Here is a 13,759-nt window from a genome sequence, read left to right as displayed (position 1 = left end):
TGTGTGTGTGTGTGTGTGTGTGTGTGTGTATGTGTCCTGCAGAACAATGAGAAAATCCTACAGGATTCAGTGGGGGCAGCAAGAAAGGTTATTAATGGTTTTTCCCAATCTGGCAGATATCCATCTCCCTAAAGTGCGCTTTCCTTGACAACATTGGAATTTAAAGGAGTGACATCCTTTCCATATAAAGGATTATATGTCAGATGTGTCTTGACCAACACATGAAACAGTCATAATGAAGACAAAAGAGTGCAAAGTAGGTGCCAGGTTAAAAGAAGACCCCCAAGGCTGCATTTACAAGTGAAGTTCATGCACTGAATACATCTTGTTCAAAATGTAGCAGAGAGAATTTTCCTGGAACAAGAAGCAATTGAACAATGAAGACATGTCATAATGTACATTTAAGTTATATGATCACAACTATACATAACTTGGCCAAAAAGATAAATAAATAAACAGAAAAAAACTATGTATGTATCAAGGCAATTCTGCCAGATATTTCTACAGAATTAGCCTGAAATAAGAGACATGAAGCCACTCTTCATTCAGTCAGTCCCGGTTCTCATGTACCTCTCATATATTAAACAGTTTCCAGCACTGAGGATGAGTCTAGTGTATAGAGGTAACCATTCTTTTCTACCGCATGACCCTAACTGCAAGCCTAATTACTTTATTTACATTAAAGCAAAAAACACCAATCTATTCCAATATTGGGAGAAAACCTTGCTGTTTTGGGCGTATTAAGGAAATAGAATCCATGGTCTCCAATGTGACAGCTTTCTAAGGAAGGATTCTTAAGGTAATTTTGTCTAAATACAATTTTCTTCTTGTATCCAGACTTTAGAAATTAGGTCCCAGCCATATATATAATATAAGTGCCTCTATACATCTTTTTTTTTTACACAAACATTTAACATTGCCAAGAGAACCGATCCCTGGTACCCATTAAAGAAAGCAATTGGCAAAACAAAAAGACTTTAATGAGTATCTACAGTATGCCAAGCTAGATGCTATGGGCAATAAAAGAAAACTAACTACATGATATCAATCCTCAAGTAATTAAAAGATCATGCATGTATAAAATTGCAGAGACCAGACCAAGATTTTTTTAGTACATAACAATCATGAATCTTTCTATTCCATGAATCAAATTCTAGAAGGATGAAGGGAAAATGTTATGAGTGTGATATGAAATAATCTGAGAAAAATTTATGTGGGTGGTGCTTGAGATGAATATTTAAAGAGGAGGTATGGATTACATAGAATGAATGAAGTTCCAGGTTAAAGTTACAGCTGCATGGTTAAATGACCAATGAGCGCAAAATAGACAATCCTAGCTTAGAACAATGTTTAGCACCCAAATAATGATTTTTAAAAAGCAGAGTGACATATTCAAATATAACAAATTGGATGTCCATTATGTTTTGGAATTCAAACAGGACATTTTGAAAATGACATTAGAATAGACTCCAGAGAGCTTTCAGGGAAACCACTGGTTTGACACTTTGCATATATCAACAATGGCCCTTGAATTTTTCACCAGTGAATTGGGTTCTAGTCCAACCTACACACAGGGAAAGGATTTCTGATCATAGTGCAAAGATTGAAATTTAACCTGGAAGTTTCAAAGCAGATCAAGATCATGCATTTGTATATACTAAGAAAATCTCAGAAAAAAACAAAGATCCTAACAGAATATCCAAAACAACCACTAATTCCTATTACATTGAAAGGAAACTCAGAAATTAATAAAACACACACAAAACAACCACATTATGAGGATTTTTTTCATTTTGAAATGCAAAATAAAAATTATGACCAACTTGATGATCGACATAAGAAGTTTGACATAGTACAATCGACAACACTTTTTACATCTTTTTTTAGAAACACATATTTGTCACTCATATTAATACATCAATAAATACACTCAACTTCACGTTGTTACAGATATAAGTTAGTCCAAACTCTATTAACTGCGAACATATGGAACTTGGAAAACGGCATAACCAACTAATTCACTAATTTGCGATAACTATAGTTATCCCCCCAAAAAAAACAGTAGAAGAAACTCAGCAAACAACAACCGAAGAATCTCTAGTTGTTGTGAACTAACACTATCTGGGAAGCAACAGGCCATTAGTGATGTTGCAGAACGTAGAAATGAAGGTATCTTGTTTTGATCAAAGCTACCATGATATCTAAAACGCAAAGAGACAGACCTGTAAACTAAAAACTCTATGAACAGCAGCAAATCACAGAAAGTCTACGGAAGCAAATAGTCATGCAAGGATTTACTGCAGGAGCTTCCATCTCTCTTTCTGGGATTAATGCCCATAAAGATAGCAACACCATCATCAGTGTCATCTTCAAACAAAGGACCACAGTATAGAGAGAACAATATTAATTATTGTCAAAATCACTTGTGCACTCAGTGATTTCAATAGGAACAATCAGTTTAAGTGGCAGTGGCAACTTCTCAACATAAAACACACTTGCTGCAATCCAAACTGGATTTAAAGAGAGGTGAGCAACTGCTTTAGTTGTTTAATCTGGTTATATTTGAGCTAAAGTAGTTCACATTTTTAGAATGAACGAATCAAAGGCGTAATTGTTTTTGTCATCTGCACAGCAATTTTACTCCTGAATGCATTGTTTTAGGCAGGAATTAATAAAAATTGCATGCGCTTCAGGTGCTGGGTAGATCACCCTTTTCCACATAGCCCAGCCTGAAGCTGTGAATGCTCCTTTTCTTATTATCAGTTAATAATTTTCTCTCATTGAGGCAAATTAGGAACTTGACTGTGTTAGAGAGTCCAGAACACTGCTAGAGGCAAAAGGGGGCTAAATGGCAGAAATTCCTCTCTGAGCAAGATGCATGAAGCACGACATTGTGTCCACCACAAAAGCCGCTCTGTATTTTTGATCCTTTCTAATTTAATTAGCCCAAGAGGTAGCGCATTAATTTGCCAAGAATTCTTCTGATGCGAAAGCTGCCCTTATTGCAGTGAAGGGAAAAAATAACCTGCGTGCTACAGTGGCATGCCAGTAATGAAAAGGGGTTATTTTTGTGTTACAAATGGCATTGCAGGGTTACAAGAGACCTTTAAACCTTTTTATCTCTGGTTAGGTCATATGTAACACAGTGCAACACAAAGCACTAATTAACCAATTCTGGTCCAGAAATCTTTTAGAACACTTAAGAGAGTTACCCAGTTAGAACCCAGGTCAACTGCATTGCTTTGTTTTGCATTTAAAAACTGAAAACATCCTCTAGTGTGTATATTAAAAAATAAAGCAAAAAAAAAATCATCAATCGACAGTTCTGTTACTCTATGGACTCAGTATACAAGATATTTATTCTGGTCTTTGTTTTCTTTCTGTTTAATGATATTCTTTATGTGGGCAAGCTGGAGCCTTGAAGTCCCTTAGAAGGTCTCTTGGCTCTTTATGCTGTATTTGTTTGGTAAATTGTCTCCATGTTAATCTTCTTCATCAAATACTTGGAGTCAGTTTTGAAAACCTTTGATCAGATCTACCACCACCACACTTCTTCATCGCCATGTGCTTCTGATATGTGCTCATGCACTCAAATGGGTCATTTACTCATTAAAGAACGAGAAACATGCGTGCTACCATGATAAGTCCTCCCCAATACTTTGAACTGTTAATTAAGCCTATGTAATCATGTCTCCTGTTTGCAGAACCATTTCTTTTCTAGAAATTACAGGATCCCGTTTAGGGACTTTCAACACCCTTGTCGTTTTCCCTCATCACTTTCCAACCCTACTGCCTGAACGTGGCTTGTTAAAACGCTCAGGAAAACCTGAAGATTATTACATTTTACATATAATTCTCCTGTCCCTTTAATGAAAACCAATGGAAGACAATGGCTTTAAAGTAAAGCACTGATATTTTTCCTCTCTCCCTGCTTCTGGCTAGAAATCAGTGAATTAAGGAGTGGTGGCACTTAGTGTATTTTTGGCTATGCATTACGAATAACCAGAGGCATCACAAGTAGCCTGTTTATGGCATAGTGTAAAATTTAGTAGCCAAACTGAGAAGAGGAAATTAGCATTGTCAAGAGGTAGGACCGGATGGACCCAGGCAGGAGGGTGTGGCCAGGGTGAGGGCAGAGAAAAGAGGAAAGAAGAGCATCTAGGAAAAGAGAGGGATCTTTTAAAAAAGCAACTCTGTGGGCAAGAGAGAGGTTTTTAAATAGTGAGAAAAAAAGTAACGGTGATTGGGCGTTCATTGCAAGGGAAGGATGGCGTTGGAGGGAGAATTAAATAAGAAGAATCTCTCAGTCTAGTAATATTTTCTCATGGACAACAATATGAAATAATCTCATTTCTTAAAACAGAGATTGTCCTACAAAAAAGGCTTTATTTTTAAAGGCAACATCCTTCCAGATATTTTTGTCTGAACCTAGAAATACCTTTCAGATTTATACTGTATTAAAAAAACCTTTAATTTTTGATTGAACTAAAAGCTTTCAGCATATAGATATATATTTACAGATTCTGTTTAAAAATCAGCAGCTACTTAGTCAAATGACAGCCTTCTTACTTGATTTTAAAAGTTCATATGTAATATGATTAATATCACCACATAGGAACAAGATAACTCAGCTGAGAATGTGCTTTTATGGATAGATCTTAAACTGTTCTCAATTTTTCCAGGTTGTCCAAAAGATTTGAAAGGGTAAAAAGATTTTTTAATACACAGTAAATACTTCTGAAACAGTGAATTAAAATGAAAAACAGATGACACATTTATACAGCTTTTGGCTTCTGTAACATCAAACAGCACATTTTCTTCAAATGGTTTCATCAGTGGACTGGGAACCTCTTAAATTGATTGACTCAAACATGTCACTTATTTGATGATTGGAGGTTTATAAAACAGTTCCTACTTTTGTCATCTGCTGACATGTTACATATCTCTCACAATAGATTAAAAGGTATCATCTAGTCTTATGCTTTCTCTACAGATAATTTTAACTTTTCAACTAAAATGAAGATACAAAGTATCTATGTATTAAAGAGATGCCTTGCAATTTGGAGTTATTTTTATTAGGTTTCTTATTTTAAGATTGATAAAGGTGATCTAAATACTATCTACAAAAAGAAAAAACTGAACACTTTACTTTTTCAAGGGTGAAATGCAGGCATGCAAACTTAGTCAAAGCAATAGATAAGCATTTGCAATGTGACAGGAAAAAAATGGCAAAATCATTATTTTAAGCCAATGTTTAATAAATGGTAAGAAACTACTTTCAATGATGTGATAAAATAGATGTTTTTTCCCCTGAGTTCCAGATACCTTCATAATCTTAGAGATCACAGCAGAGCCGAGACAATTTACCTACATCTGCTTTCAAGATAAACCTAGTGCCCTCAGATCTCAATTCATGCTTCCTAAAATACCACGAAGCCCACACCAGGGTACTCAGGTCTGAGAACGCACATATTTCTGAGAGTGCATATGTCCCTAGAAATCTGTTGATATTTAAATCACAGCACTCTATAGCACTCTCAGTTGGGTAAAGTTTGAGAGGAACAAACAAAGTATAATCCTCCCGGAGAAAAACAAAGAGTGAAAGACCAAATGCAAAAAACAGATGTCTCTCCAAACATACCAGAAATGAAGTACGGTATTTAGTCAACTGTACCTTGGCCATTTAGAAGGAGCCTGAAATGAATGCCCTGAGGCGATGTACCAGGTGGGTCACGGTCCTCACAGATGACACACTGAAGCTTGGAGAATGGACTCTCTACAAAGATGTGGGCAGGGAAACTTCCAGGGATGGAACGTCCCAAGGCAAAGGAGAGCAGAGAGCTGGTACACGTGAGGCCTGAAGGGTCAAAGGAAAGAATGGTTACCATATCCCTGAGAGTGTGTGTGCAGAGGATGACTTACTCAATAGGGACTGTGGCTTTGCTAGAGCACCCCAGCCACCCTACAGCCACTCACCAGAGAGAGAATCGAGGAATCAACATCCCAATCCCACTCTCTTCACAGAACCCTCTGCTCTACCATTGTCAGTCTTGACAGAGACCAATCAGAAAGCAGAGGGCAGTACCTGGAATCAGTCTCCCTGGCAGAGAGTGGACTGGAAGTGCAGTCATAAGATAACCAGTACAGAGCTTTTAATATTTAATAGTGGAGAAGACACATTGATTAACATTTTATAAAATGTTAATAACCTTAACAGAAAACAAACAAACAAACAAAAAAAGGTGTATTTTTCAGATAGAACATTTGACAATACTCTGGGATTTTAAAAAATGCATATGTATACACCCATATACTGAATTATTTTCAAAAGAAAAATAGAAATCAAATTATAAAACTATTAAGATATACAAAATTATAATAAAATATAAGAATACATAAAATTATAGATAACTTTGAACACTGTGCAATCAGCCTCAATTTCTCTACTATTGAGAAATAGAATCTATCCAGTTAAGGTATTATAATATATGAGGAAAAGTAAGAGAATGAGGAGGAAAAAAGGGGGAGAGGGGGAGAGGAGAGACAGGTAACCAAGGGGAAAAAAAGGATTGAGGCACGGTTCTTTTTATTTTCCTATTGTACTCTGCAATGCAGCCCTGGAAAATGTGTTAACCCTTAGAAGCTAGAATCCATGGATCCCCTGAATCTAACCGCTCTCTGGACCATTTTAGAGACAAAGCCTTTTTCTTCGGACAAACTGCTATTTCTCACCCTACCTTCTAAACAATCTTAGGAAGAAGACGCCTAGAAATATAGAAGTACCATTTTCTAGTTGGTGGGGAATGAGAGACACTGAAAACCTATTTCCACAACAGTGAGGCTGAGATCTAGATTTCTATTGTCCATTCATGATTCAGCCTTCCTTGCCTCCTATGTCAATGGGCGAGGCTCCTTTGGAGACACAAGGGATCCCAGGTCATGGGTCATATAGAGATAGGCTTTATGTATGCAACCTCAAGGGCCAGTTTCTGCTGAACTGCTTCCTTTCTCACCTTCCTGACCCTGCCAAGCATTCCCCTACCTGTGCAGAGGATAGTTACTAGCACAACTGAAAACATCTAAACTACTTCCTCTCTGTCCTGTCATGTGGAAAACCAACTTAATTACATCTTTCTACCTTTCTTCATCCTTTACTCTTTTTAACATGCATTTGTTTTATTGACATTTACTGAGCATCAATATGCTGCCATTGTGTGAAGATGAGTATACAAAACAAGACATCAAGATCCCTAATCTTAAGCAGCACGCAGTGCAGTGTTTTTTCCCACATTCCTGGAACACAACACAACATACATGGTACGCATGTGTACCACAGGCATAAATATATATGCATGCTTATAGATATACATAGTCTAATCCTGAAATACCTCCAATCCCTTGGGGAAAGATTCTCCCCCACTTACCACGCTCTCTTCTGGCATCCTTCCTATGTCTCCTGATCTTTTATTTCAACAGGTTTTTAAGAATTGAACATATGCAAGGATGCTGAAGCCCACTCAGAATGTTAAAGACATAAGCTTGTTCCTGGATGAGGGTTAACAGTGGTAGGAGTTGGTAATCAGCTCTAGAAGAGATGGAAGGAAGTAAATAAAAGATGATATATGAAGACGAAATTGTAAAGATGTGGTAAAAACTAAGGAACAAGATTCCCTTCAAAGTTATCTTCTTTCTAATATTTCTTTCACTAAAACTCAATCCTCTAGAAACAAACACACCTAAAATTTAATCTTTAGAATGAAATTTCATAAGGACAAATAATACATAAGAAAGCTGTTTCATTGTAAAGTTACTTTTTTTTCCAAAGCACCTGCTTTAAGATAGAACATGTATATTTGCGGGGTCATTAGAATCACCTGGGGAGCTTTAAAAAAACTGTCAGGTACAGGCCCAAAGCAGACCAATTAAACTAAAACCTCTGGGGTGAGCCCAAGCATCAGTATGGTTTCAAACTCCCCATTTGATACTAACATGCAGCCATGGTCATAAGTAATAAATATATATTTAGACATATGATTATGAGTTATGTGCCAATCATCCCTTAGTAAAAAAAAATTCTCAGCAATGTTTTGTTTTCGATAAATCATTGTCAATAATTTATTATAATAATCTATAGCTATAGCTTTAAAGTCTTTTAAAAATAAAGGTAGATATTTAGGGTTTGATAATATCTATTTTTGAATAAAATATAGAAGATTTTTTAATGCTTAATAATAAAATGAGCCACCTAGAAATATAGCAAGGTCTTTATAGACAGATAGAGCTTGGATCAGAATAATGAGGCAAAATTTTTATTCCAGCTGCTCCCTCCCACCCACATCCTCTTTTTTCTCTTCTAGCCCATGCTTGGGGTCTATTGTAGAGAACTTAGATAGTCTAGGAATTTGAAATACAAGCAATGTTGACTTAAAGGAACTCTAAAGTCTCCTTCACCTAAATTGTCAATAATTTCATAACTATGTTTCCCTTTCAGCCATCTTAGTAAGCAGCACAAGTCACTGTTTTTGAGTGCATTCACACAATTTAGGCAGCAGTGGCTAAGCTAGGCTTGTGCTGTATGCAGGACAGCTACCGAAAGAAGGAAGGGCTGGGCTTAGTCTTTAGAGGTATGCTTACAAGGTATGGAAACCCAGATTAGCTCTGGCATATAAACTACAAAAATGTTCTTGTTAACTGGGCAACATGTTTTCTAAAGGTGCAGAATCCACTGTTTCTATCACTTGTCAGAGTTAAGCATAAACAATGTACAAACAAACAAATTGTGCCAGTATAAAATGTAATACTTGTTTATGAGACACTTCCAGAATCTGACAGTGGCCCTCTGTTAACAATATTTAGGCCATAACTATATTGGCCAAATTTTCCAAAAAAAAGAAAAAATCTGAAGCTTCGGGTAACGTTAAATAGCTTTATAACTTCCCTTGTATCTGGTTTCTAATCTCAGATTAAATCAGGCCAGAGTTATCAATTTTAATGATCATAATGTCACATTAAGCAAAAAGATGAATAAGAACGTGTGTATACTGTAGGCTAACATTCTTTTAATCCCGGACTCTCTATGCTTTGGGATTTTACGAACCAGTAAAACATCTCCAAAAATGTTAGAAAGTAAAACAAAAGTTACCATTTAAAAAAAAATTGCCAAGGAAGGACATTAAATGGTAAGAATAAAACCAGATCCACTATTGCCATTACATCATTATATCATATAACACTAAAAGAGTAGGAAGTATAGAATCTGTCAATAAAGGATAATTCAGTAAAAATAGTATACTTAATGAAATTTGTATCATTTTCTTGAATATCTCACTTCACTTCAATCCAGTGAAAATGTCATCACAGATCGGCCTGTGTCCACTGACTGGTACTCTGGAGCCACTGTTCTGATGGTATTCATCTAGACTCTTGCCTAGTTTCCCAAAAAATTCTGCCTGTAATCTCATTCATACCTGGGCAGAGGTTCCCTTCTGGTCCTTTTAAAGGGCAACTAGCATATTCATGACAAATCTGGAAGGAGTATTTCTCCATCCAGTTTAGAACTCACAGTTCTACCAGAGCTTGCAATAACATTGGCAAACAGTAAAACAGTTGCTTTTCTCAAATATTACAATGTATATGAAGTCACAGTTATGTTCCTTTGTTTCAAGTAAAAGCTTAGGCAGCAACTCAAAGAACCTGATTCCTGTGAATCAGAAAAAGAACTTACAGCCTGCCAGTCTTGTAAGCTTACAGTTTTCCATATCGTATGTGATTTTATAGATTTAGCTAAAGTATGGCAAAATGCTTTTATCTTATAAAAACATTTATTACTCGATATTCAGGACAATAGGAATAAAAATTATCTTATTCATTTTCTAAAGTCACTACATTGTAAGACTGATCTACCACGATTGAGATAAATTTAGTACTACATAAAGAAATTTTCTTCCCAAACTGGGCAGGATATCTGTAAAATTACCCAATGATCCTGTTTTCTGTTATTACAATGACATTCAGATTGTTTATTCCAAAGCAAATACTTTATTTCAAAAGTCTGGAAACCAGTCATCTGATTTCATTTAAAAAATTGAGAACATCCAACTACAGATTTTAAGTTAACTGTAAATTAACTAACTTAATTGTAAATCAACTTTTTATTTTAGTTTTTCATTTATTTCCTTTTTAAATTTATTTCCATTTTTTATTAACAGTACTCTCATCTTTGGTAAAGAGAAAATATAGCTTTATTGGTCTGTTACTAAATATTTCTTTCTTAATTGATCTCTTTCTGCTCTTTTTCAATCATAATCACAAACCCATAGATGCATTTCAGGGGATGACGGTGCAAACACACAAGAGAATGTCCCCGAATTTTCAATGCCCCATATTCATGGTGATCTTGAACTTTAACTTCTCTGAAACCACTTACAAAGAATTGAAGGACCTCAGAATGGTTCATACTGAAAGAAAATCTTGCAAGTTGTTTTTCTCTCCAATGTTAAAGACACAACTCAAACTGATGAGAAGACAAGAACATAAAATGGAAGTTCTTACGAGGACCCTGAATAGGCAAAAGAAAGAACTATGCAATCAAAAATAAATAATATTTGAATTTAAGGTGCTTTAGCTAGCTGCAACACAAAAATTATGAATAAATACATAATTAAAATTAAAATTGAATCAGTCAATTTAAAATTTTTTATTTGAAATCCAAATCAAAGGCTTTGTAGTAAGACACTTCACCTGGAAAAAGAGTAGCCCAGGTTTAAAATTTTTTAGTAAACAAAGACCTTGTCTTTGTCCATTTGTGCTGCTATAAAAAAGTATCTGAGACTGGGTAATTTATGAAAAACAAAACTTTATTTTTCACAGTTCTGAAGGCTAGGAAATCCAAGATCAAGGTACCAGCAGGTTTGGAGTCTGGTAAGGGCTTGCTCTCTGCTTCCACAATGGCACCTTGTTACTGGGTCCTCTGGAAGGGACAAACTCTGCTCCATATCTTGTGGAAAGCTGGAAGGGCAAAAAGGGCTAATTCCCTCTAACCCTTTTATAAGGCACCAATTCCATCCATGAGGGCAGAACCCTCAGGGTCTAATTATTTCCCAAAGACCCCACCTCTTAATACTACTGCATAGGGGATTTAAGTTTTATTGTGAATTTTGGATAGGGCATAAATGTTCAAATAATTGCAGACCCTCTCTACTGTCCACACTAAATAGGAATCAAGCCAACAAGCATCAATGTGCCTCAAATAGAGGCACCTTCAGAATGGTATTTATGTTTAGAGTTCTCTCTACGCTTTTTCTTCTATCCCAGTTGTTACTCCCAACATTCCTTACTTCTGTGATTGGCTGAAATGCAATTTTAGCGAGCTAGCCTACAAAGAATAATTGAATGTTGATTCATGCAGTATTTTTAAGCAAATTATTTTCAATATTTGAAATGCAGATTTCGTTTTGAGAAATTTAATTAATCACACAGTGTATGAGAGAAGACATATATAGTCATCTAAAAGAAGAAATGTTCTTTCAAGTTCTGCAAGATTTGATTGTCTTGAAATAACTGTATTAACAGAAATAAATTTAAAAAAACATGCGTGCATTCAAAAATGAGCCACTGAATGATTTAAAGAAAAAAGTCACAAAGACACATATTAGTAGAGCTAACCGACTCTGCCCCTACTGGGGGGTGCCTCCCAGTTAGGCTACTCGGGGGTCAGGGACCCACTTGAGGAGGCAGTCTGTCCGTTCTCAGATCTCAAACTCCATGCTGGGAGAATCACTACTCTCTTCAAAGCTCAGTTGGAAATAGAGAAATCACCCATCTTCTGCGTCGCTCATGCTGGGAGCTGTAGACTGGAGCTGTTATTATTCAGCCATCTTGGAACCACAATCTTATCTTTGTTTTTACTGCATTTGCTTTTGGGTTCTTGGTCATGAAATCCTTGCCTAAGGCAATGTCAAAAAAAGTTTTTCCAATGTAATCTTCTAGAATTTTTATAGTTTCAGGTCTTAAGTCCTTAATTCATCTTGAGTTGACTTTTGTATAAGGTGAGGGATGAGGATCCAGTTTCATTCTCCTACATGTGGCTAGCCAATTATCCCAGTACCATTTTTTGAAAAGGGTGTTCTTTCCCCACTTTATGTTTTTGTTTGCTTTGTTGAAGATCAGTTGGCTGTATTTGGGTTTATTTCTGGGTTCTCTACTGTGTTCCATTGGTCTATGTGCCTAGTTTTATATCAATACCACATTGTTTTGGTGACTATGACCTTATAGCATAGTTTGAAATCAGGTTAAGTGGTGCCTCCAGGTTTGTTCTTTTTGCTTGGTCTTGCTTTGTCTATGCTAGTCTTTTTTGGCTCCATATGAATTTTAGAACTTTTTTCTTATTCTATGAAGAATGACAGTGGTATTCTGATGGATTCTGATGGGGATAGTATTGAATTTGCAGGTTGCTTTTGGCAGTATGGTCATTTTCACAATACTGATTCTACCCATCCATGAGCATGAGATGTGTTTCCATTTGTTTGTGTCATCTATGACTTCTTTCAGCAGTGCTTTGTAGTTTTCCTTGTAGATTCCTTTGTTTGATATATTTCTAAGTATTTTATTTTTTTGCAGCTATTGTAAAAGAGGTTGAGTTCTTGATTTGATTCTCTGCTTGGTTGCTGTTGATGTATAGAAGAGCTACTGATTTGTGTACATTAATCTTGTATTTGGAAACTTTGCTGAATTATTTTATCAGCTCTAGGAGCTTTCTAGAGGAGTCCTAAGGGTTTTCAAGGTAAATGATCATATTGTCGGCAAGCAGTGACAGTTTCACTTCCTACTGTTTTGGATGCCCCTCATTTCTTTCTCTTGTCTCATTGCTCTGGCTAGGAGTTCCAGTATTATGTTGAAGAGGAGTGGTGAGAGTGGGCATCCTCGTCTTGTTCCAGTTCTCAGAGGGAATGCTTTCAACTTTTCCCCATTCAGTATAATTTTGGCTATGGGTTTGTCATAGATGGCTTTTATTACATTAAGGTATGTCCCTTGTATGCCTATTTTGCTGAGAGTTTTAATCATAAAGGAACGCTGGATTTTGTTGAATGCTTTTTCTGCATCTATTGAGATGATAATGTGATTTTTGTTTTTAATTCTGTTTATGTGGTGATCACATTTCTATTGTGAAGGTGGATACAACAACCTCAACCCATTTACTATTTGATTCATCATATTCCTCTTCTTATTCTAGGATCACCAAGCATACTTCTGTTAATAAATTAGGTGCCTGTGTATGATCTGGCCAGAGTGAGTGAATGTGTTTATCAGACTATGAGTTGCATTTTTTACTCTAAATTAATAAAATGGCATTATAACTGTCCACATCAGTCACACTGAAAAATGGATTCACTCTTGGTATACAATTGAAATCAAACTTCTGAGAGCGGGAAGATGAGGACCCAGCTAGACTATGTTCAATTCACCAAGGACTTACTTACTGTTGAGACAACTTGGGGAAAAAGACACTATTAATCATAAGCATTATTTTTCTCATTTTGAAACTTTTAGTGATATAAGGTTTTAATACATCTTTTACAAAGATATAAAAATTTTTACTAAAAAGTAAAGCTCAACTCTCTCCTTCTGCCAAGGAGACATGTTTTGTTTCACTTTTCTTGGATCAGCATTATATTTTAATGCCTATCACATGGTGCCTAGAACAGAGTTGGTCTTTAATAAAAGCTCAAAGGAAGAGCAGGAGGAAAAAAATTCTAGACAG

At 36.0% G+C, this 13,759-nt stretch overlaps 1 long non-coding RNA gene across 1 annotated transcript in view; it reads right to left on the bottom strand.

Annotated features, from left to right (window-relative positions):
- The window catches only part of TEX41 (testis expressed 41), a 408,763-nt gene that overhangs the window by 302,775 nt on the left and 92,229 nt on the right, over nucleotides 1–13,759 (bottom strand). The window contains exon 2 of the long non-coding RNA NR_033870.2: nucleotides 5,675–5,857. This is a non-coding gene — a long non-coding RNA (testis expressed 41). The remainder of the gene's footprint in view (nucleotides 1–5,674; nucleotides 5,858–13,759) is intronic.

This window comes from Homo sapiens, chromosome 2 (genome assembly GCF_000001405.40).
Source record: "Homo sapiens chromosome 2, GRCh38.p14 Primary Assembly".
In the NCBI taxonomy this organism is placed as follows: Eukaryota; Metazoa; Chordata; class Mammalia; order Primates; family Hominidae; genus Homo; species Homo sapiens.
Note: the sequence above shows the minus strand (reverse complement) of the source record. Positions and strands in the feature narration are given on the sequence as shown.